This window comes from Homo sapiens, chromosome 14 (assembly GCF_000001405.40).
Source record: "Homo sapiens chromosome 14, GRCh38.p14 Primary Assembly".
In the NCBI taxonomy this organism is placed as follows: Eukaryota; Metazoa; Chordata; class Mammalia; order Primates; family Hominidae; genus Homo; species Homo sapiens.
Window position 1 is genome coordinate 69,062,146 of NC_000014.9, and position 24,488 is coordinate 69,086,633.

General features: G+C 40.3%; 1 protein-coding gene and 1 pseudogene across 13 annotated transcripts in view, besides 2 other annotated features; one reads left to right on the top strand and one right to left on the bottom strand.

Moving 5' to 3' along the window:
- DCAF5 (DDB1 and CUL4 associated factor 5) overlaps nt 1–24,488 on the bottom strand; it is a 102,317-nt gene that overhangs the window by 11,265 nt on the left and 66,564 nt on the right. For all 13 annotated transcript variants that reach the window (XM_006720298.3, XM_006720297.3, XM_011537278.2 and 10 more), the window contains 2 exons: nt 13,200–13,266; nt 239–366 (listed from right to left, as the gene is read on the bottom strand). In XM_006720298.3, the coding sequence (XP_006720361.1) occupies nt 239–366; nt 13,200–13,266 (195 nt within the window). The remainder of the gene's footprint in view (nt 1–238; nt 367–13,199; nt 13,267–24,488) is intronic.
- Nucleotides 4,475–4,524: an enhancer, noted in NCBI's record as "active region_8632". NCBI's record gives its function as "activates an Ori minimal core promoter by ATAC-STARR-seq in GM12878 lymphoblastoid cells {active_cell/tissue: GM12878}" and the evidence as "EXISTENCE:reporter gene assay evidence [ECO:0000049][PMID:35858748]".
- Nucleotides 4,615–4,714: an enhancer, noted in NCBI's record as "active region_8633". NCBI's record gives its function as "activates an Ori minimal core promoter by ATAC-STARR-seq in GM12878 lymphoblastoid cells {active_cell/tissue: GM12878}" and the evidence as "EXISTENCE:reporter gene assay evidence [ECO:0000049][PMID:35858748]".
- On the top strand, nt 21,200–23,569 carry DDX18P1 (DEAD-box helicase 18 pseudogene 1; annotated as a pseudogene).

Below are 24,488 nucleotides of genomic sequence, written 5' to 3' on the forward strand. Positions count from 1 at the left end.
GGCTGAAGTGATCCTCCTGCCTCAGCCTCCCAAGTAGCTGGGACTACAGGTACTGTCACTATGCCTGGCATCACTTTTTAATATCAGCTTTCTAATATTTTGTAATATGTTAAAATCTGAGAATTCTGATAGACCTTTAGTATGTTTAAATATGAGGTCCTACATAAATTGTTCTAGTTTCTTCTAATTATAAATTGTGAGAATTTCTCTAAAAGGACAGAAGGGGAAGGTGCCTCACCTTGATAATCTTTTCTACACCAGAAGAGCAGATCATGTAGGTGTGGGGATTAAATCGGACTTGGTTAACAATAGATCGATGCCCTTTCAGCACCATGAAGGCTCCGTTGACCACCCTACCAATGCCACCTGGGAAAACAGAAGGAAACAAAAATCAGATGATGAAATGAATGAAAGTAAATAGGTTCCAGTAATGGCAGATAAACAGCTCTGAATGGGAGCAAAGATTTTTGGATTATACCACCAGCAGAATGCTTAATCTTACAGATAAGTTGCTATGGAAAGAGAGAAGATGAAACAGCTCTCAGCATATGTGCTCTTATGAAGAGCCTTTATTTAGCCTTTAAGCATTGCCCACACTCACCCACTGCAATTCCATTGTCAATGAAACCAAAGCCACTTAAAACATTTCTCAAATTTTTGATCCCCAAGATAGAATCCAAGTGTTACCTTAGAAAAGGCCAACCATGAGCAAAATGAGACTGAACTGCTTGGGAATAGTTAGGCAGCTGGACCAAGGACACGCAGAACCAGAAGCATATAATGACTTAAATGTACAAAAAACATCTCTAATCCATTTGCCCTCAGTTTCTATGATGAAGACAGCAAACAAAACAAAACAAAAAACCCCATAAAAACCAAAACCACTGGGGGAAATAATAGAGAGAATACTTTTCCCCCCGATAGCAGGGAGAACTAAGGATATAGAAAGAAAGAAAAATTTGGATCACTTTCATAATAAGCAGGGTCCAAGTATTGAAAATCAGAATTAGAGAGTGGGCCTTAAAGATACCATGTATAGATTAAAGTCAAGAGGACATCGATAGAAAGCTGTATTTTAAGGATCATCCTATAGGCTTCCTTCTTCAGTGAATGAGAAAAGTGCCAGAGGCCTGGAACTTGTAACATAGATAAACATGTTATCATTTATGAACTTGGGATAAATTCAAAGTTTCCACTGCACTGGTAATGGTATCACATCCATCCAGAACACATGCACATAAATTCTGATCAAGTTCCTTCTGAGCAATCAGACAACTCAGGACACACAGAGAAACATGTGCATTTGGCTAACTGGCAAAATGTGTTGCATCCAGACACAAACAAATGAGTGTTCATTTATCTACTCAAGGGATCCCCTCTTAGTCCCTACCAGGAGCATGGCGCCACTAGGCCACAAAGTATCATTAGACAGTCTCTGCTCCAAGTGCCTCCTTCCACTCCCAACTCCACCTTGTTCAAACACTCATTCCAAATATTTCTCAATGTCTGTGTTTGGAGGGAAAATGACTACAACAATGTCCCTTCCCCAGAAATAATATGGCTCTAGGGGTATCTTCTGCTTTTGGCCCCCTAACACAACTCTTCTTTTGTCTCATGGAAGAGATACCTCCTTATTGCCACGTACATATCTTTTTTATGACAGCAAAAGGTTCCAGACTGCACCCATCTACTCACTCAGCCAGCTTTAGGTGCTCAATCTATTTGATGGGTGACAAAATTTTTCTCCATATTTGACAATAATATTTGAATTGTCCAGAATGGAAAATATATTTATCGTATTCATATCTCAGCCCAACATCAAGTTTGCTAATAAACCATAAAAAAAGAGAGGGACTAGGACACAGGATTAGTGGATTTTTCATGGAGAAAGAGGACAAGGAAAAGTTAGGCACTGATGTAGACTGCCATGGTGGGAACCCCTAGCACTGGCTTCCTAAGGTGGTATGAAAGGGAAGCTGGGCCAGTCAAAATGAAAATAAACTAGAGAGAATTAGGGAAGAGGGATAAATAGGAATCTAAAGAACCCAAAAATAGTTGTCTTGACAGAGAGATCCTACCATCCCCAAAAAGTTCCTTTGGGTCTATTTCTTCTAGATAAGGTTCATTATGACAAGTAGCATTTCTGCTCATGGGTGTCCTCTGAATTTTACTTTTTTAACATCCTACTTCTACCTCTACTCCCACTGGGGTGGTTAAGCAAAGAAACTTTGATTTAAATCTAGTAACAGTCTCTTGTTTAATCCTACTGCCTCAAAAAGAGGGGGGATGTGGGGGGATTTAAGTGACTTATCCCAAGTCATAAAGCTAGAAAATGGCAGAGCCAAGATTTGAACCAGAGTCTGGCTACAATGCCTAATATGCTTTCCACCATATCAGCTGCCTTTGGAAGATGGAAGAGTTTGAATAGGAATGGAGTTAGAAGCTTACATTCAAAAGATTTAGATTTCTAAATCTTTCAGGCAGTTATTAGATAGGTGGTTTTCTTCTGAAGTTCTAAATTAAAAGGAGGGGCACTGTATTCAATGGTATCCTGAGCACAAGCTCTACAGCATTACCATAAGCCATTTCATCACACCACTGACACTGAGTACATGATGAGAATAGAACTGGATCTGTCTTACCTACTCTTGCATACCTAGAACCTGGGGTGCAATGTCCAAAGTCCACCAGGTGCATAAATACTTGCTGAATGCATAGTGTTTGAAAAGAAAGCAATTTTAGAATAAGTATGTCAAAAGAAGACAGCTGGAAGGTCTCATATAAAGAATCAGCTATCATAGAACTAAAGTGCATCAACCAAACCAATCTTTCTGACTTGGAACACAATTAAAGTAACTATCAGATCTAAAGACTAATTGAAGGCTATCAATGCCTGAAAATTCAGACCATGGAAAAACTGTTTCTCTTGCACTTTCATGCAATATGACCTCTTTTTTTTTTTTTTTTTTTGAGACGGAGTCTTGCTCTGTTGCCCAGGCTGGAGTGCAGTGGCTCGATCTCGGCTCACTGCAACCTCCACCTCCCAGGTTCAAGCAATTCTCTGCCTCAGCCTCCTGAGTAGCTGGGATTACAGGCATCCACCACCATGCCCAGCTAATTTTTGTATTTTCAGTAGAGACGGGGTTTCACCATCTTAGCCAGGCTGGCCTTGAACTCCTGACCTCATGATCCACCCGCCTCGGCCTCCCAAAGTGCTGGGATTACAGGCGTGAGCCACCACACCCAGCCCTGATTTTTCTTCTTGGTAGCAATTTTAACACAAGGTCTTTTTTGCCCTTCTTTCCACCCATGCTGGTACCTAGGAAATCTGAAAAAGAAGAGGGAATCAATAAACCCAGAGACTGATGGTGAAAATAGGTACAGGCAGAATTATAGTGGCCATTTGTTTAAGGTAACCAAGACTGTGTACAATCATAGCAATAAATGGCTTCAGAGAGGTTTTTCATAGTTTCTTTCCTGGTTCCCAGGTTTGATATTATTGAATATAGCTGCTACTGAACAGTTTACGTACAATCATTTTTTGAGATTAGTCCTAGAAATTTGTATAAGCCAGATAGCTTCTCCTTTAATTTGAAATAGCTAAAGTCAAAATGCCAATATCAGAAAGAATCTAGGGTCTCCTTTCCTCTGTCATCTAATCAGACCATGCTGGTCAATAGTAGTATCAAATTGGAAGGAGACAGGAAGGGCATATTTTTATCCAAGAACTATATAACCCACATAATCTCCCTTCAGGGTCATCTCTTAAGACTGTGGGTAAGGGCCCAGGTAAGGATCAACTTCACCCCCTGGTTGCTGAACTAAGTCCTGACTGAATCGCTAATAATGGGTACCCATAAATAAAATACCACATACCCAGGAAAAAGGATCTCATTCCTGAGCTGCCATTTGTTTATAAAATTCTGTATAAACCAACAGTCATTTCTCTGGGCCATCTGCTTTGGTTGGCTTAGCCAAATGTGCTGACACTGTTTTTTTTTTTTTTTGAGATGGAGTCTTGCTCTGTTGCCCAGGCTAGAGTGTAGTGGCATGATCTCAGCTCCCTGCAACCTCCTCCTCCTGGGTTCAAGCAATTCTCCTGCCTCAGCCTTCCGACTAGCTGGGATTACAGGCGCACACCACCACGCCCAGCTAATTTTTTTGTATTTTTAGTAGAGATGGGGTTTCACCATGTTGGTTAGGCTGGTCTCCAACTCCTGACCTCATAATCTGCCCGCCTTGGCCTCCCAAAGTGCTGGGATTACAGGCATGAGCCACTGCACCTGGCCAGCTGACACTCCTTTTTAAGTTTAGTTCCTAAGTTGAGGCCAAAGTCCCCATATATTAATCTTTCTTTGATTTAGAAGAGATGGTAGGGGGGTAGGGAAGACTATAACCATATCTATTGCAAGATCTCAGAAAAGAAAATGAGAACAAGGTATCTCACAGAATTTCAGTATCAGTAATCCACTTACTACCGTAGGGGACCCCAGGATCCCAGGGGAAAACACCTTGCTCAAAATTCAGATAAAGATCTTTCTAAATGCCAAGGTCAAATGTCTCCCTAGAGAAGACTAAGGGAAATGTGTATGTCCTAATTTCCCTCCCTTCTCTACTTATGGCCCACTTTCATAACATTCAGCCAGGGGTTTATTGCCTCAGGCCTTTGAAGAGCCAGAATACTATTCCCATTTCTAGCCAATTTCAGTTGCTTTTGTTTAGTGTCAAGTTCATTTGCTTCATGAAGTCCTCCAAGAATGAGTACGTTTTTGACTCAAAAGCTGAAAGCAATGTGGTCAAGATTTCTTGATGTCTTGGTCTAATAGCAATTTATCAATCATGCTGGGACACTGTCCTCAATACCACTTCCCGTCTTCCTCTGTTCTACTTTTTCTATAGCACTTCTAACCTTTTAAACATACTACATAATTTACTATGTTTATTGTTCATTGTTTCCCCTGCTAGAACATAAGCTCCATGACAGCAGGGCTTCTGTCTCCACTGTATCCCAAGTCTCTAGAACTGTGCCTAGCACATAGTAAGGTTTTTAATAAATATATGATGAAATGAAAAGATGTGAGTGTATTAGATGGTGGAACACAAGCATGCAGGAAAAAAAAATCTTCACATATGGGCTCCATCACCCAATAAATGTTTCTTTTTTTCCATCTTCCTGCAGCCGATTTCGTATCTTTTTTTTTTTTTTTTTTTTTTTTGAGACAGGGTCTCACTCTGTTCCCCAGGTTGGAATGCAGTGGCATGATTTTAGCTCACTGCAACCCCCCGCTCCCAGGCTCAAGCAATCCTCCTACCTCAGCCTCCCTAGTAGCTGAGACTATAGGGACATGGCACCACACCTGGCTAATTTTTTGTACTTTTTGTAGAGATGGGGTTTTGCCATGTTGCCCAGGCTGGTCTCAAACTCTTGGGCTCAAACAATCCTCCTGCCTTGGCCCCCGGAAGTGCTGGGATTACAGGTGTGAGCCACCTAATCCAGCCCAGATATTCTTTTTTTTTTAAGATGGAGTCTCACCAGGCTGGAGTGCAGTGGCGTGATCTCGGCTCACTGCAACCTTCACCTCCCCAGTTCAAGCGATTCTCCTGCCTCAGCCTCCCGAGTAGCTGGGACTACTGGCACGCACCACCAAGCCCAGCTAATTTTTGTATTTTTAGTAGAGATGGGGTTTCGCCATGTTAGCCAGCATGGTCTCAATCTCTTGACCTCGTGATCTGCCCACCTTGGCCTCCCAAAGTGCTGGGATTACAGTCCTGAGCCACTGCACCTGGCCCAGATATTCTTTTACAGCATTTTTACTATAATGTAGTTAAGCAGGAGCAGAGAAATAAAGGGGCTGAAATCCTATCTATCCTTCAGGGTCCTTTGAAATGCTAACTGCAGGAAAACTTTACCAATCTTCCCAAATCTCTTCAAGACCTCCTTCATTATCTTTTTTATGGGCCTCAGAAGCCACTTTTACATCGAGTGCATATGTCTGTGTGTGTGCCCATGCACATCCTTTTTTCATCTCTGTTATATTGGAAGCTCTCTGAAGGCAAAAAATGTTCATTTTTCAGTGGCCCATAGAGCTTTACATGATGTCTTATCTAAGGATACTCAATAAGTGAACAAATTGAAGTTAAAGCCCTCATCATCCTCTCTGGAATAAAGCTTGAAGTTAAAGTTATCTGCTAAAATGAGGTTTGGTAAGTAGATTTAAGACAATCTATTTCATTCTTGACCCCACTGGTAGAATTAAGAGTTTACTGCAAGGGCCAGATGTGGTGGCTCATGCCTGTAATCCCAGCACTTTGGGAGGCCGAGGCAGGAGGATCACCTGAGGTCGGGAGTTCGAGACCAGCCTGACCAACATGGAGAAACCCTGTCTCTACTAAAAATACAAAATTAGCTGGGCATGCTGGCACATGCCCGTAATCCCAGCTACTCAGGAGGCTGAGGCAGGAAAATAGCTTGAACCTAGGAGACAGAAGTTGCGGTGAGCCGAGATCATGCCATTGCACTCCAGCCTGGACAATAAGAATGAAACTCCATCTCAAAAAAAAAAAAAAAAAAAGTTTACTGCAAGGCATAGACTATTTCTTTTCCTGGTACATCTAAAAAAGGTATCCAAGCCTCTTAGCATTTCAAAAAGGCCCAAGTGAACAGTTGCAGGGTCTTCCAGTGTCAAACCATAAAGAGGACCATCAAGGATACTGACAATACGGACAGAGCAGTGACTGCCTCCTGGAGACCACATAACTACTTAAGAAATGAGAAAAGCCAGATGGGGACAGCCAATGCTGTCAGTACAGCTCAAAGAGCTCCACAGGCATCAATGCTTAGTTGCACAAAAAAGTCAGTTATGCTGAGTTCTTCTTTCATCATATGTGCCTCACATGTGTTTATAACCAACTACTTGCAACCAATTAAAAACAGCTGTTTTTTCCAGTTACATGGGAGGAAAAAGCAGATACCTAGGCCTAAGTCACTGAGAGTGAATACATGTCTAGAAAAAGAAGACAGAGCACACAAACATATGCAGGCCCAAAAAAATGCATTTACAGCTGTTTCCAGCCTACTTCATCAGCCTACTGCCAGTGGGGGTGGTTACAGTGACTCGGCAGTAAAAATACATGTTTTTCCCTTCCATTCAGGGAAAAATTTGTCACATAAGAGAACCCTCCTGAACTACTGATGAGTCAAGGGCAGCCTTCATGCAAGAACAACTCAATCAGCCATTCCAGGTGGGTAGCAAGGAAGGACAATGTCTTGATCTCTAAGGAGTTATTAAAAGGTGAGTTTAAAAAGGGAGAAGGCCTTCTTTTTCTTCTTTTGTAGACACGGAGTCTCATTCTGTTGCTGAAGTGTGCAGCCTCAAATTCCTGGGCTCAAGCAATAGTCCTGCTCAGCCTCCTGAGCAACTGGGACTACAGGCATATGCCACCATGCCCAGTTTTCTTTCTGTTCTCTTTCTTTCTTTCGTTCTTTTCTTCTTTCTTTTTATTATTATTATTAGAGACACAGTCTTGCTGTGTTGCTCAGGCTGGTCTCAAACTCATGGGTTCAACTGATCTTCCCGCCTCAGCCTCCCAAAGTGCCAGGATTACAGGTACGAGCCATTGTGCCTAGCAGCAGTTAGTTTTAAAAAAAAAGTTTGTGAAGACAGGTTCCCACTATGTTGCTCAGGATGGTCTCAAACTCCTGAGGCATCAAGCGATCCTCCCACCTCAGCCTCCCAAAGTGCTGGGATTACAGGCATGTGCCACTGTGCCCAGCCGAGAAGGCTTTCTTAGTGAGGAATAACAGTCGTTGAGTAGCTACTAAGTACTCTCACAATAATCCTAAGAAAGTATTATTGTTGTTGGTGGTGGTATTATCCTTATTTCACAGGAGTTTGGTAAGATTAGGAAATTTTTCCAAAGCCCCCAGTTGGAAGATAAATGGATCAGGAATTTAAAGCCATTCCTAACAACTCTATCACATTATGCTTCTTTCCATAAATAAGAAGGTCTTAGAGTAAGAGGTAGCTCTGGAAAAGCAACTCAACCTGTGAAAACCCTAAAGCCCTTTCTAACAAGAATTCAGGGAAAGAGAAGGGAAAGGCAATATAAATATTTTCAAGAGACACCTACCAACCTTTCCCACACATTGCCAAATCCATTACTTTCATACCTAACTTACTAGGGAAAAAATGCTTTGGAAATGATGGATCTACATCGATCTTACTATACATAGCAATAACAATGTCTTGTATTTGAATACACATTGTTTTCAGAAAGCTTCCAAGATTATTAAATCAACACACAATATAAGGCAGAGGTAGGAGACATTTTATGTAAGAAACTGACGCTCAGACAAATACTATTATGTAACTTGCTAAGAATCAGACATGTAGTTAGTGGTAGTTAAGTTCAAGTTAGAGGACTTGAATCCAGGTATGATTTTAAGTCTAATGCTCCTTTCAATATGTAACACTGGCTCTATATGTAACTGCTGGTCTACTTATTTTATTTTCAGAATTACCACATAAAAACAGATGCCCTTCCTACCTACTTTAGAGGTCTTAGACATATTCCAATGGACTTCTTCTCTGCCACAGCAAAATTCCCAGTTCTAGTTCTATTCCTTCCTCTAATTTTTATTTTTCTTTTTTTTTTTTTGTTTTTCTTTTTTGAGACGGAGTCTCCTCTGTCACCCAGGCTGGAGTGCAGCGGTGCAATCTCGGCTCAGTGCAACCTCTCCCTCCCGGGTTCAAGCGTTTCTTCTGCCACAGCCTCCCGAGTAGCTGGGATGATGGGTGTGCACCACTACACCTGGCTAATTTTTGAATTTTTAGTAAAGACAGTGTTTCACTATGTTAGCCAGATTGGTCTCAAACTCCTGACTTCAAGTGATCTGCCCCCCTCAGCCTCCCAAAGTGCCGGGATTATAGGCATGAGCCACTGCACCCGGCCCCTTCCTTTAATTTTTAAAGGGATTTTTAGAATGAGTTGTTTGAAATTACTAAAAAATTGGACCTGATCTTCCCTGGTAGCAAGTTTTATAGTGGATATAGGTCTTACATCTTGAAATGATCTCCTCAGCCCACTAGGAAGTCCTATTGGAAAGACTTATATAGTATTGTTTATACAGTAAATAAATTTCATCTCTTTGGAGTTTGTATAGCAAAAAAAACAAAGACTGATTAACAGTCTTCCTGAGCAGGAGTGTGCAGAAGAAAAAGAAGGCCTTGACTTTGGCTCACACTCAGGACCACTCTCCATCTCGTTCTCTCAGCACTCGGCACGCACATGAAACACACAGCAGGCATCAAATAAATGCTGACTGCTTGTCATCTAGAGTCTAGTTCTGATCATGCCATTAGGTATACAATGGCAAGCCAGCTTTCCCTTACTAGCCTGCCTTAGAATCATATATCCAAAAGGTACACAGAGAATATGAGAGAGAAAGAGGGAGGGAGGGAGGGGGAAGAGGGAGAGAGAGAGAATGAATGAATGAATGAATGTGTACGCACTTATCTTTGGCCCATGATTATTTAAGTCAAAAAGACATTAGGTTGGATTAAGAGTTTCCTGACAAAATTTTCCTCATCTAAGCATTCAAAGTTAGAACTCAAGGGATGCATCCAGCCCACAGATATCTTGTTAGGCTTGCTGAACCTTGCTAAATATTTTTTATAGCTATGCATTAATTGCCAACATTTAAAAATTGAGGTATTACATATAAAAATGAGAGGTACCAAATAGTCCTGAAGCCATGTTGAAGAGTAGGGCTGAAAACAGGAGGAGTTAAAACCATGCACATGGCCAGGAAACCATCCTTTCCCCATATAAGCAGAAGTCTGGGGGTTGCCAATTGACATTGACCCAAAGAGGTTTTAGATTGGCAATACAAGGCACAGCTGGGGGTGTCATTAAACAAAAGTCTTCATATAGATCTGTAAGACCCACAGCCCCATTTCCCTATTTGGCTTTTAAGAGCCATAGTTTAATTACCAGGCAAATACTCTCTAGGTAGGAGAATGAAGATTCCTCTTTTGGGAAACTGACTGATTTCAATAGTAGAAAGTCAACAGAGAATGTCTAATATTGAAAATCCAAAAATATTATGAGCATGTTATAGGCAAAGGTAGAGAAAGGGACTATTGTGCTTTTAAAAAATAAGCTTTATAATATTATTTGATTTAAAAATTATATAGCTGTATTACTTTGATAAAAAGAAGTACTTAATTACAAAAATAGTGGAGGTAATAAAAAAGAACAAGAAGGAAGAACAGAAAGAAAAAGAGAAGATTCATGAATAAGAAAAAATAAAAGAGGCCAGGCACAGTGATGCACACCTGTAGTCCTAGATACTTGGGAGGCTTAGGCAGGAGGATCGCTTTAGCCCAGGAGCTCAAGGCTGTATGCAGTATGCTATGATTGTGCCTGTGAATAGCCACTGCACTCTAGCCTGGGCAACATAGCGAGACCCTGACTTTAAAAAAAAAAAAAAAAAAAAAACGAGAGAAAAGAAAAAAAATGTGGGTGGGATCTGTAAGAATAGTGGCAGAAGGGTTGAATCCCCAAATGAGTCAAGACATGCTAAAAATAATCTTAAAAGATACTTTAGTTACATACAGAGCAAGATGATGATCAAAGGGACAGACTTGCTGTGATTAACAATGTAATGCTGAAGAGTGATACAGAGAAAACAAACCCTCAATTACAGTGAATCCAACAACAGGGATAGTTATAAGGTCCTGTCCTTGTGCACAAAGAAGCCCAAGTACCAAGTAAAGGATGGGGATGCAGAACCAACCATAGCCTATGTGGAAAGTATTAACAGATCATGGGTTCTGTGGCCTCTAAAAAAGCTTATGTGACACTGGGTGTACTTTCTGAAACACTGCATAGTGCATTTTAGAATAAAGCAGCCAAAGATTCTTATCTGGCCTGGTCAGACTAAATCTGCTAGATGTATTCAGTTAATCCATAAATGGGGTAGAACAAATTCAGGAGAGAAAATCAGTACAGCAGAGGAATTGACATAACTATTTTTTAAGGAACTACTAAATAAACTTAGGGGTACTATCCCTGGAGAACATCTAGAAGGTGACATGAGAACTTCCTTATAAGAAGGGGAAGGGACACTAGGGATGCATGTGCACAGAGAAAAGTGAGAACACAGTGAGAAGGTGGCCAAGGAAAGAGACATCGAGAGAAACCAAACCTGCCAGCACCTTGATCGTGGACTTCTAGCCTGCAGAACTGTGAGAAAATAAATTTCTGTTGTTTAAGCCACCCAGTCTGTGATACTTCGTTATTGCAGCTCTGGCAGACTAGATGGTCGACATCCTAAATCAGTAAAGAAAGCAGCAGGGGGCTGGGCACAGTGGCTCATGCCTATACGCCCAGCACTTTGGGAGGCTAAGGTGGGACGATCACTTAAGCCCAGAGTTTGAGGCTACAGTGAACCAAAGTCATGCCACTCCACTCCAGCCTGGGCAAGAGAGTGAGACCCTGTCTCTTACAAAAAAAAGAAAAGAAAGCAGCAGGGAGAAGAAAAAAACCTACAATACTATTGCTAATTCTTTCCTATTCTCTCTATTCAAACGTGAAAAACATTCCAGAGAATAGTCCTGGGGAGAAGAAGGATTATCCACATTCTATTTTTAAAGTCATACTAACAAATTAAAAGCTTTTCAAGATCAGGTAAAAGATACAATTAAACCCAAAGATTACTTCTCAACGAATCAAGCTAGGAATTACAGGGGTGGGAGACTTGTATCCACAACCACCTCAAGTGCTAGAACATCACTCTTTGTTCAGGTAGACTACTGCTGTTCCATTTGCTTGTGTCAAAGGTAAGCTGTTTCACTCACACTTTCTAAATTCTAGAAGAGGAAAAGCCCTTTTGTAACTTGTTTAGTAACTAGACCACAGCAAATGTTGAGTTATGCCAAAAGTAGGCCCCAACAGGTTTTGAAAGGCAGATGTTTGGTAAGAATATTGTTAATTCAGCAACAGCCAAGAACTTCCCTAAACTCTGAGCACTACTATAGACACGTTTTGTGTAATATACTTGGCATAGTCCTCTAATTTTCCTAAAGGTCATTTTCCAGCTTAATGTCATGTATCACCTGGAACAGGTGGCTATATTGAGCTGTTTGAGTATTAAAAACAGACATTTTTCTACCATTAGGTAACACTCATTGAGCACATGAAGACACTATTATCAAAAATGAAGAAGATTAAGAAACAAACCATCCTAAGAAAAAGAAAAGGGGGGGGAAACTAAGTAAAAAGAATGAAGAGGTATGATCCACACTGTTTGAAAGCTCAGATAGCTTAAATACAAATTTATGGAAAGTTGCAGCCTTTTTTCAGAATACAATTATAGCAAATGTAAAAATATTTCTTCCTAATTTCTTTGACGTCCTGGGTCAACAAAGCCCCAGGGAACATACCTGTCCATCAACAAAGAAAGCCTCCCTTTAGTTAACATGACCAGGGAGGACAAAGGAAAGAAAGAGCCCTACCAACTGTTTGTAGAATAATAAGCAAGAATATGAAGATGGATAATAAAAGCAAAGCACATAAAAGCAAGACAAAAATATTCCAGGTGTGGGCTGGGTGCGGTGGCTCACACCTGTAATGCCAGCACTTTGGGAGGCTGAGGAGGGGAGATCATCTGAGATCAGGAATTTGAGACCAGGCTGGCCAACATGGTGAAACCCTGTTTCTACTAAAAATACAAAAAATTAGCCGGTGTGGTGGCGTGTGCCTGTAATCCCAGCTACTCAGGAGGCTGAGGCAGGAGAATTGCTTGAACCCGGGAGGCAGAGGTTGCAGTGAGCCAAGATCACACCAGTGCACTCTGGCTTGGGCAACAAGAGTGAAACTTTGTCTCAAAAAAAAAAAAAATCCAGGTGTGAAATAGGAGGAGACTGGAAATAAGGGACATAAAGGAGTTCTATGAAGTCTGAAGAAAAGTTTTTAGGAGGAAAAAAAAATCTAAGCATCATTTATGTCAGATAAGACTATGTCTGAGGGATATAGTTTAATCTGGTTTATAATTTTTATTTTTAAATTTCCTTTGGTCACAGCTTATGTTAGAAATGTTGTCCTCTACTGCTAAAGATCTGTCCCCTCAGGGCACAGCATGCCAAAGGTCAACAGAGCCAGCAATAGCAGTACATTCATGTGAAGGATATACTTGCCTGCTTCTGGATCTGCAGGAATTCTCCACATGTACAGGTTGAAGTCATCAGAGCCCGAAAGGATATACTGTTGGAACAAAAAATATATAGATAACATTATATATTATAATATAGAATAAATACAATATGTAACAATAAACATATTAATTTTTTTTGAGATGGAGTCTTGCTCTGTTGTCCAGGCTGGAATACAGTGGTGCAATCTCGGCTCACTGCAACCTCCGACTCCTGGGCTCAAGTGATTCTCCTGCCTCAACCTCCAGAGTAGCTGGGACTACAGGCACACGCCACCACGCCCAGCTAATTTTTTGTATTTTTCAGTAAAGATGGGGTTTCACCATGTTGGCCAGGCTGGTCTCAAACTCCTGACCTCAGGTGATCCGCTGGCCTTGGCCTCCCAAAGTGCTGGGATTACAGGTGTGAGTCACCACAACTGGCCTAAACATACTGATTTTTAATATATCTATCTGTACAGAGATTTCCTTTAAATAAACAAGATAAATGGGCATATATTTATAAGGCACCACACAGCAAACACCCTCTTAAAAATACCTGCAAATCAAAAGGCATGTTAGCTAAAACTCAGCAACGACAACAAAAAATGACCTAATTCAAAAAATTCAAAAAAGGGGCAAATTAGACAGTTCTCCAAAGAAATATACAAATGGCTAGTAAGTATAGGAAAAGATGCTCAACATCACTAATAATTAGAAAAATGCAAATCAAAACCACAATGAAATACTATTTCACACCCATTAGGATGACTATTACCAAAAAAAAAAAAAATTGACAAGTATTGGCAAGGATGTGGAGAAAGTGAGAACCCTTGTGCATTGCTGGTGGGAATGACTAACGAACGGTGCAACTGCTGTGGAAAACAATATGGCAATTCTTCAACAAGTTAAACATAGAACTACCACATGATGCAGCAATTACAATCCTAGGTATATATCCAAGAATTGAAAGCACGGACTCTAAGAGATATCTGTATACCCATTTTCATAGCAGCATTATTCACAATAGCCAAAAGGTGGAAACAACCCAAGGGTCTACTGATAGATGAATGGATAAACAAAATGTGGTAATACATACAATGGAATATTATTCAGCCTTTAAAAGGAATGAAATTCTGACACATGCTACAACATGGATAAACCGTGACGTTATACTAAATGAAATAAGGCAGAAACAAAAAGACAGATATTGTATGACTCCATTTATATGAGGCACTTAGAGTAATAAAATTCACAGAAACAGCAAGTGGTTGCCAGGAGCTAAGAGGAGGGAGAATGAAGAGTTAGCGTTTGTTGGGGAGTTTCAGTCTGGGATGATGAAGAAGTTCTGAAGGTAGATAGTGGTGATGGCTGCACAGCAATGTGATTGTACTTAATGCCACTGAACTGTGTATTTTTAAATGGTTAAAATGGTAAATCTCATGTTATGTATATTTTACCACAATTAAAAAAAAATTTTAATGCAGAACGTAAAAACTAGGAGCTTCCCAGAGATCTTTCACGTAAGGCCAAGTATCCTGAACTTCCTTACTGCCAGCTGATATCTTTGAGCAGGAAGCCATCACCAACATAGCCATGAATTAGTGCCTGGGCATAAGCAGTGGTCTCTTATGTGGCAGCTCCAAACTGCTTGATCTCAAAAAGGACACTGTGCCAGATCTACTCTAATGTGAACTCATAAAAGTATTGTCTAACATTGTCTAATAGCAACGAGAGAGTAATTTTGAGAGTTCATTTATTTCCAGTGATTAACGTGTTTTACTTTAAGGTGAGGTCAGCATTACTTCGTCCTGTCTTTTGCCCCCATCTGCTCATTTCCCTGAAAAAGAAAGGCCTACTGTTTTCCTTTTGTGTGTGTGTATGTGACAGCGTCTTGCTGTGTTGCCCATGCTAGAGTGCAGTGGCACGATTATGGCTCACTGCAGTCTCGACCTCCTGGGCTCCAGTGATCCTCCTGCTTCAGCCTCCCCAGGAGATGGAACACAGGCATGCACCACGACATGTAGCTTATTTATTTATTTATTTATTTATTTATTTATTTATTTGACAGGGTCTTGCTCTGTCACCCAGGCTGGAGTGCAGTGGCACAATCATTGCTCACTGCAGCCTCGACCTCCTGGGCTCAAATGATTGCCCTGCCTTAGCCTCCCAAGTAGCTGGGACTACAGGCAGGCACCACCACACCCAGCTAATTTTTTATAGTGACAGGGGTCTCACTTCCATTGCCCAGGCTGGTCTCAAACTTCTGGGCTCAAGGGATCCTCCTGCCTCAGCCTCCCAATGTGTTGGGATTATAGGAATAGGCTACACGCCTAGCCAGGTCTAGAGTTTTCTAAAGAAAATGTCATACTTGAAAATGACATCGAACATCCCCAAAAAGTGTAAGTCCAACATACACACAACCTCCTGCCTAACATAAATTACTAAATACTGTGCAATCATTTAAAATCAATTTCCTAGCCTTCAAAACACTTGTAGGAACATGAGAAAAAAGGCAAAGACAGGTGGGTTTAAAGATGAAGAAAATGCTATCTATAGGGATTAGGTAATCAGGGCACAGTGGAAAAAGCAGTGGGCTCAGTTTCTTTATCTGCAAAATGAGAGAACTGGACTGGTGGCTCTGTAAGGCTCATTTAATTCTAAGATTCTATGATTACACTGTGAAGGAATGTTGGAGGCTGGATTAGACCTGAAAAGTCCCTAAGCTGCCAGCCCAAGTGATTTGATAAGTCACTCCACAAACATGCTCAAGACAAGGAAACTCATAAGGCCAGTCTTGTTAAACTTTAATTTAAAAGTTTCCTAAACTACAACAACAACAAAGAAAAAACAACATGATTTTAAAAATGGGCCAAGGACTTGAACAGACATTTCTCCAAAGAAGTAGAACATGGCCATATACAAATGGCCACTAAGCACACAAAAAGATGTTCAACATCACTGATCATTAGGGAAATGCAAATCAAAACAATGAGATACCACCTCATACCCATCAGAATGGTTACTATGAAAAACAAAACAAAGACCCAGAAAATAGTTCCCCCAAAAATTAAAGATAGAATTATCATATGATCCAGCAATTCCAATTCTGGGTATATATCCAAAAGCACTGAAAACAAGATCAGAGATACTTGCAACCTATGTTCATAACAGCACTGTTTATAATGGCCAAGAGGTGGAATCAATCCCCTATGTGTCCATCAACATCATTCAGCCTTAACAAGGAAGGAAATTCTGACACATGCTACAACATGGATCAACTCTGAGGACATCACATCATGCTAACTGAAATAAGCCAGTCACAAAAAGACAAATACTATATGATCCTACTAGAGTAGTCATGAAAATTCAGACACGAAGTAGAATGGTGGTTGCCAGGGCCTAGTGGCAGGGGAAATGGGGAGTTGATGTTTAGTGGGCAGAGAGTTTCAGTTTGAGATGAAGAAGAAGTTCTAGAGATGGATAGTGGTGATGGTTACACAACAATGTAAATGTACATATATATTTAATGTACACTTTTTTTTTTGAGACAGAGTTTCTGCCGCCCAGGCTGGAGTGCAGTGGTGCAATCTCGGCTCACTGCAACCTCCACCTCCAGGATTCAAGCAATTTTCATGCCTCAGCCTCCCCAGCAGCTGGGACTACAGGCGGGCACCACCATTTCCTGTTACGTTACACGTTTAAAAGAGGCTATCAACTTCATGTGGAATTCCTGCTACCCTGCCCCCCATACCACTGCAAACTAAACAAACAAAAAGTAATATTTAAGAAGAGTGAGCCCAGTGGTCTTATCAGGGGTTTTACTATTTCATCGTGAAGCATCAGTGCTTTCCTATTTGTTCGGCTATTCATCAGGGCAAAGCCATGAGAAGGGAAAACAGGATTCTCAGACAGAATGCTGACTCAGAAGACTGCCTTAGAAGGAAGAAAACTCTCCCAGAGTTAAGGCCTGTTGGGTTTAATATGACAGCTCCTAAAATATGCAGAAAATGCATAGAATGTACAGGCTTCCTCTTAGGGATAAAGGCAACTCCTGATCTCTCTTCCTCTTGGAACTCTTCTTCCACCCACCATAAGAGAACAGCTAGGGATGATTTTTAGGGAGGGCGTCTTGCCTCGCTGCCATCTAGTAAGGGCATTTAAGTGTTCACACACTCTGGAATCACAAAACTGTCCTGCAGAATTCATTATGGCATTTCACGGTTGTCTGCTGGATGCCTTCTAGCATTAAAAGTTGGCTGCCTGGGATACTGCTGACTATAAGGACAGAAATAAAAGTGAGGTCATTCCTTTATTCATTAAACAAATATTTATTGAATGTCTAATATGTGTTAGGCATTGTTCCAGGGAAGGGAAGGCAGAGTTGATCAAAAGAGACCCTGTTCCTGTCCCATGAAGCTTACATTCCATTAATGGGAAGAGGAAAATATTACAGACATATATAATGTGGGTAGAGCAAAAAAAAGTTAAACAAAAAATAACATATATATATATAATGTGTCCAGTGGTGACAAATATTACAGAGGAAAATTAAACAGCAGGTTAGCGCATATAGGGAGTGCTGGGGGTTGGGGTGTTAGTTTCCGTTTTACAGAGGGTGGTCACAGAAGGCCTCTTTGATAAAATGGTATTTTGAATAGAGCCCTGAAGGAAATGAGGCAGCAAGTTATGTGGATATCTGGGAGAAGAGTATTCCAGGAGAGCAGACAGAGTTCTGGCTATTTTAAAATATAAGGTAGCCATTAAGAGCTCTTTTGTCTTTTTTTTAAGCTTTGTGGAAATAAAGATTATTTCAAGTGAGCTGAGTACAGAGATACATTTACTATCATAAGAGCAGCTAGAAAGATTCCTGTCTTCTAAAGCTATGCTGAAAGGATCATCCCCTCCTGGACTCAGGCTGGTTGGGGCCACTGAGTGGGGCGCTGCTGATGGTTAGTGCTTAAGAGGACCACCAGGACACTGCAGGTCTAGGCGGGCCATCTTACAAATATTTGCTGTGGGATACAAGGAAATATAAGCAAGAAAACAAAGACCAAACAGTGCCAGTGGCACTGTTTCACTACCAAAGGAAACAAACCCAAAGTACTTCATCGTATTAAAACTTAAGAAACACAGTAATTATTTCAATTAACCAGAAAACTGAACTTCACCTCAAGTAGTGAAATTGGAGGCACAGGTTTTTCTCTCTGTCTTTTCTTTTATCTTGATGATCTAATTTCAAATAGTACCTGCTCATTCTCACCCAGGAAATCTGGTGTTTGGGGTCTGAAGCTGACCTGGAGCAAAATGCTTCTGGCCTAGATAACAGAAAGGCTCAACAGCAGATACTCCTATATAAATAGGCAAGCTATAGAAACATAGTAGAAAAATTGGTTACCCAAAATTCCTATGTTTCATATTTTTTATTTCCTTTTATGATGTATGACTTCACAACCAACGTTCATATTTAATACACTACTGTGAAAAAAACTAAAAATTACTATTCAACTTTAGAAAGGCAAAAACTAAATAAAGTGATATGAAGTTTGTGGCCAAATGGGGACATGAATATGAAAAATTCATTGCCTTCTCTAAGTTATTTTTTTTAACGTCATTCTAAACATGACGAGGGGGAAACCACAGATTAAAAACTCACTTCATGTTCTGCTTTAGTACTAAAAAAAGGCAATAACAAATGTAAGAGGAAAAAATAAATAATAAGATTTAAAAGAATATAAGAAAAAATAAAAAACAAAAAAAATGAAACTCACTTCGCACAGCCTTTTATCTTATACTCTATTGAGAAGAACAGGGCGGGGCTCCAAGAGGAAGAAAGAATACTTCATTCTTTCTAGATAAATACTTCATTATCTAGGCAATAAAGTCCCCATTTCCCAAAACACCCTGAGTTGAGGGGGAGGTAGGAGATCCATAGACTACAATTAGATCAGCGTGGAAGATATATTTAATTTTTGTTTGGTTTTGTGGGTAAGGTGGGAAATATCAATGCTAAAATGAACATGAGTTGTGTGGACACACATTATCCATAATCTTTCCCAGCTGGCTACAAAGGTTAAAAGTTGGCCACATTCTGATTCACCTCACTTTTCATTCATTCTGTGGTCCAAGAGGGCAAGCTATTTACTGATCTGAATGTTTACTGATCTAGACATTTTAAGTAGGGTTAACCTGAGGCCAGTGCATGGTGGTGTTTCATCCAATCCACTGTCAGTGTGGAGATACTAACTTGCTCGAGCATAGGAAGAGATCAACAACTCTCTCTCAATAGATTTCAGGAAGGAACCACCATCATGACCACCACCAAGAACAACACTGAAAAAGATTACTGACTGGTATTTGTCACTGTCTCACTGACCCAAATGTCCTCTGTCAATCCATTGACCTTTATAGAAAATGTGTGTGTGTGTGTATGTGTGTGTTTGTGGTGCGTGCTTACACAGGATTTGATCTTCTCCAACATCTGTTGATGAAGAAGGAAACATATCAATCAGTTACTATTCATTGAGTACTGATCAACTTACCCAGTTCTCTCCAAAGGCTCCTTCCATAGTAATTGATTAATGATTCTCCAGTAAATGGCATGCCTGTCTAATTAGCTGTATTGACTAGGACAGAAAAACCAGATGGCTCGCTAGCCTGGATCAGTAACAGCAGAGAGACTGCTATTTAAATTTAAATCAAACACAGCTCTTATTTTCCCCTGACCTTCTGTCAGAAAGGGAAAAACAATGTGATTGAAAACTTTGTGATATGCTCTCTAGATGACTATTTCCAGAAAAAGGTTTGCTAACTGGCATATAATACACCTTTGATCATACCATTTATAACCAGTGCTTGCCACAAATACCAACCAAAGCAATCAGAGCAAATTTTCTTTGGAAATGGGCAAAGCCGTAGATTTATTTTATTTGTGGTAAGAGAAATTTCACTGCCTCCCAATAAAAGCATACAAATACGCATACCCATAAGATTAACACTATTTTTGCAAGTGAAGTTACATTATTCTTGCTTCTTTGAGCCATTTGCCATTTCAGCTCCATTAGGCTTCTGGATCTTTCAGTTTATTAAAATAACCAACCTTTATGGGTTCTGTGTAGAAAAAATTCTATTAAGGAATATTCCATAAAGGCAGCCAATAACAGTCAAATAATCAGCAGAAAAGGAAAAAAGTGCTGTAAATTACCAACAGCTGGTTATAACAAAGTGGCCAGCGTTACTTAAAGATGAATCTTTATTTGGCAAACCATTTTGGAAACCTGAGCAAGATGAGGGGCCATTAACCATTAGCCCCCCTCCATGGGCTTCAGTTTTTGTATGTGAGGACTGGGGAGTGAGGAGATGATAGCACTCACTTCAGTCCATATATGAGTATTTATACTCTTCATTCAAGCAAAGGTGTTCCAGCATTCTGAGGAAGTAACATTATTTTTTCTCCAAAGCTTGAAGATATCTCAAAAAGAGGCAAAGCTCTTCTACTAAAAGTAAAATTTCTAAGGAGGAGGATGAGACAGGTTATACTCTGTTCCCCTTCATTAACATCTACCAGGGATTTCCTAGTGGGGCCAGACTCTTAGCCAGGAGCCATGCATTAAAGAACTGCCATGTCCTGTCACCAGATTACATCAATTCCACTTGTTCCTAAGAACAATCCAGGTCACCTTGTGTTCCTTTACAACTGAACGATTACAAACCAGACCATACCTAGCAGGCCTCACATACTCCAAAACCTTTTAAGCTTTTAAGTTCTAAAATTGCATCAGTAAACAGACTAAAAGACAACATAATCCAAAGGTAAAATCTTAATCCAGGATTGATAATACCTGAGCCTCTAGGTTTCAAGAGTTCCATAAACACTTTATTATTATATGGAAAACAATGTAGATGTGTACATTTTTCTGAGATGACTGTTTATAGCTTTTAGAGTTTCAAAAAGGTCCAGGATTCAAAAAGAGTTATAAATGGCTGATTTAATAAAGTTATATTCCGGAACTGAGTAGCTGTACTGTCTGGCCCCGTGGTCTAGACACTGCTTGGACAGGATGTCTCACCTGCTGATGAAACTCCTACGCAAGAAGATCAAGAAGTGGAACCTCAAACTGCGGCAGTGGAACCTAAAGTTGCAGGGGGCCTCAAATCTGACCCTGTCCGAAACTCAAAATACAGATGTGTCTGAAGAAACAACGGGAGGTGGAAAGGTTAAAAAATCAAAACATTCTATGAATGTGGGCTTATCAGATGCTCAAAATGGAGATGTGTCTCAAGAAGCAGTGGAAAATATAAAAGTTAAAAAATCTCCCCAGAAATCCACCGTATTAACCAATGGAGAAGCAGCAATGCAGTCTCCTAATTCAGAATCAAAAAAGAAGAGAAAAATGGTGAATGATGCTGAGTCTGATACAAAAAAAGCAAAAACTGAAAACAAAGGGGAATCTGAAGAAGAAAGTGCCAAGTCTCCTAAAGAAACAGAAAATAATGTTGAGAAGCCAGATGATGAAGATGACAGTGAGATGCCCAGCCTGCCCCTGGGACTGACAGGAGCTTTTGAGGATACTTCATTTGCTTCTTATGTAATCTTGTCAATGAAAACACTCTGAAGGCAATAAAAGAAATGGGTTTTACAAACGTGACTGAAATTCAGCATAAAAGTATCAGACCACCTCTGGAAGGCAGGGATCTTCTTGCAGCTACAAAAACCGTCAGTGGTAAAACCCCAGCTTTTCTCATCCTGCAGCTGAACTCATTGTTAAGTTAAATTTCATGCCCAGGAATGGAACAGGGGTCCTTATTCTCTCACCTACTAGAGAACTAGCCATGCAAACTTTTGGTGTTCTTAAGGAGCTAATGAGTCACCACGTGCATACCTATGGGTTGATAATGGGTGGCAGTAATAGATCTGCTGAAGCACAGAAACTTGCTAATGGGATCAACATCACTGTGGTCACACCAGGCTGTCTGCTGGACCATATGCAGAATATCCCAGGGTTTATGTATAAAAATCTGCAGTGTCTGGTTATCGATGAAGCTGATCGTATCTTGGATGTTGAGTTTGAAGAGGAATTAAAACAAATTATTAAACTTTTGCCAACACGTAGACAGACGATGCTCTTTTCTGCCACCCAAACTTGAAAAGTTGAAGGCCCGGCAAGGATTTCTCTGAAAAAGGAGCCATTGTATGTTGGTGTTGATGACGATAAAGCTAATGCAACAGTGGATGGTCTTGAGCAGGGATATGTTGTTTGTCCTTCTGAAAAGAGATTCCTTCTACTCTTTACATTCCTTAAGAAGAACCAAAAAAAGAAGCTTATGGCCTTCTTTTCATCTTGTATGTCCGTGAAATACCACTATGAGTTGCTGAACTACATTGATTTGCCCATCTTGGCCATTCATGGAAAGCAAAAGCAAAATAAGCATACGACCACATTCTTCCAGTTCTGCAATGCAGATTCAGGAACACTATTGTGTACAGATGTGGCAGCAAGAGAACTGGACATTACTGAAGTCAACTGGATTGTTCAGTATGACCCTCCGGATGACCCTAAGGAATAATATTCATCGTGTGGGTAGAACAGCCAGAGACCTAAATGGGAGAAGGCATGCCTTGCTCATTTTGCACCCAGAAGAATTGGGTTTTCTTCACTACCTGAAATGATCCAAGGTTCCATTAAGTGAATTTGACTTTTCCTGGTCTAAAATTTCTGACATTCAGTCTCAGCTTGAGAAATTGATTCAAAAGAACTACTTTTTTCATAAGTCAGCTCAGGAAGCATATAAATCATACATACAAACCTACGATTCCCATTCTCTGAAACAGATCTTTAATGTTTAATAACTTAAATTTGCCTCAAGTTGCTGTCATTGGTTTCAAGGTGCCTCCCTTTGTTGATCTGAACGTCAACAGCAATGAAGGCAAGCAGAAAAAGCGAGTAGGCAGTGGTGGATTTGGCTACCAGAAAACCAAGAAAGTTGAGAAGTCCAAAATCTTTAAACATATTAGCAAGCAAACATCCAACCGCAGGCAGTTCTCTCACTGAAGACATGCCTTTCTTTCATCTTGAATAACTTTGTCCTAAAATGATTCTTTTCCTCCCTTGATTTAACAGGATTTTTGTAGCCTTTAGAATTTGGACTTATCTAACAAGAGTATAAATTGAATTCGGTTGCAAGCACTGAACACTGTTACTTCTATCAAGTCTCTCTTATTTTTGGGATATAAAACAGGCTTTAATTTTCTTGGTTGCCCAAGGGCAAAGTAAGGAATATCTCATCTTTCTTGTGATGATATAATATTTTAATTTTAAATATCCCTCCCTCATACATACAAATGTATGTTACTGTTTTAATTATTTTTGTACCTTTAAAAAAAAGTTATATTCCCTCTACCTTCTCTTTACAAAACAGAAAGTCTGCCCCCTTCCTCAAAAAAAGTTTCCTAAAACATTCACGCTCTAAAAAAGACATACAAGGAATTCCTCTGCCACGACATTCTGTTTTCAGTTCTTCCTCACCAGACCATATCATTGCTTGATCTCTATAACACAGTGGGCAGCATGCCTATGAGCAAGAGGGTACAGTCATAAACAAGAAACTGAGTCTAGTCCTGGTTTTGCTAACAATTCGATTTGCCGTTTCACACTACTGTCGGCCTCAGTTTCACGTGAGGATAAAACCTGTCCAATTGCACCCAAAGGTTGCTGGGAGCATTAAAATATAATAGTGGGCTGGGCATTGTGGTTCATGCCTGTAATCCCAGCACTTTGGGAGGCTGAGGTGGGTGGATCACTTGAGGTCAGGAGTTCGAGACCAGCCTGGCCAACATGACAAAACCCCGCCTCTACTAAAAACACAAAAAATTAACCGGGCGTGGTGGCGCGTGCCTATAATTCCAGCTACTCCGGAGGCTGTGGCACGAGAATTGCTTGAACCTGCGAGGCAGAGGTTGCAGTGAGCCTAGATGGAGCCACTGCACTCCGGCCTGGGTGATAGAGCAAGACTCCGTCTAAAAACAAACAAACAAACAACGACAACAAAAAAACATAATAGTGGATATGAAAATGCTTTACAAGTTAAAGGGCTAAAAATATGTAAGATATAAATGGCAAGGAGATGAAAAAAAAAAGAGTAGCCTAAAATCACAACAAATCAAAGGCTGGAAACCAACGGTTGAATTTCCCCCATTAAAAGTATATCTTTATTTCAGATAAAGGAGAACATATGGCATGCCAGGCCCCAAAGTGGGCTTAATCAGGCGTGCATGGAGTTATTAAAAAAAAAAAAA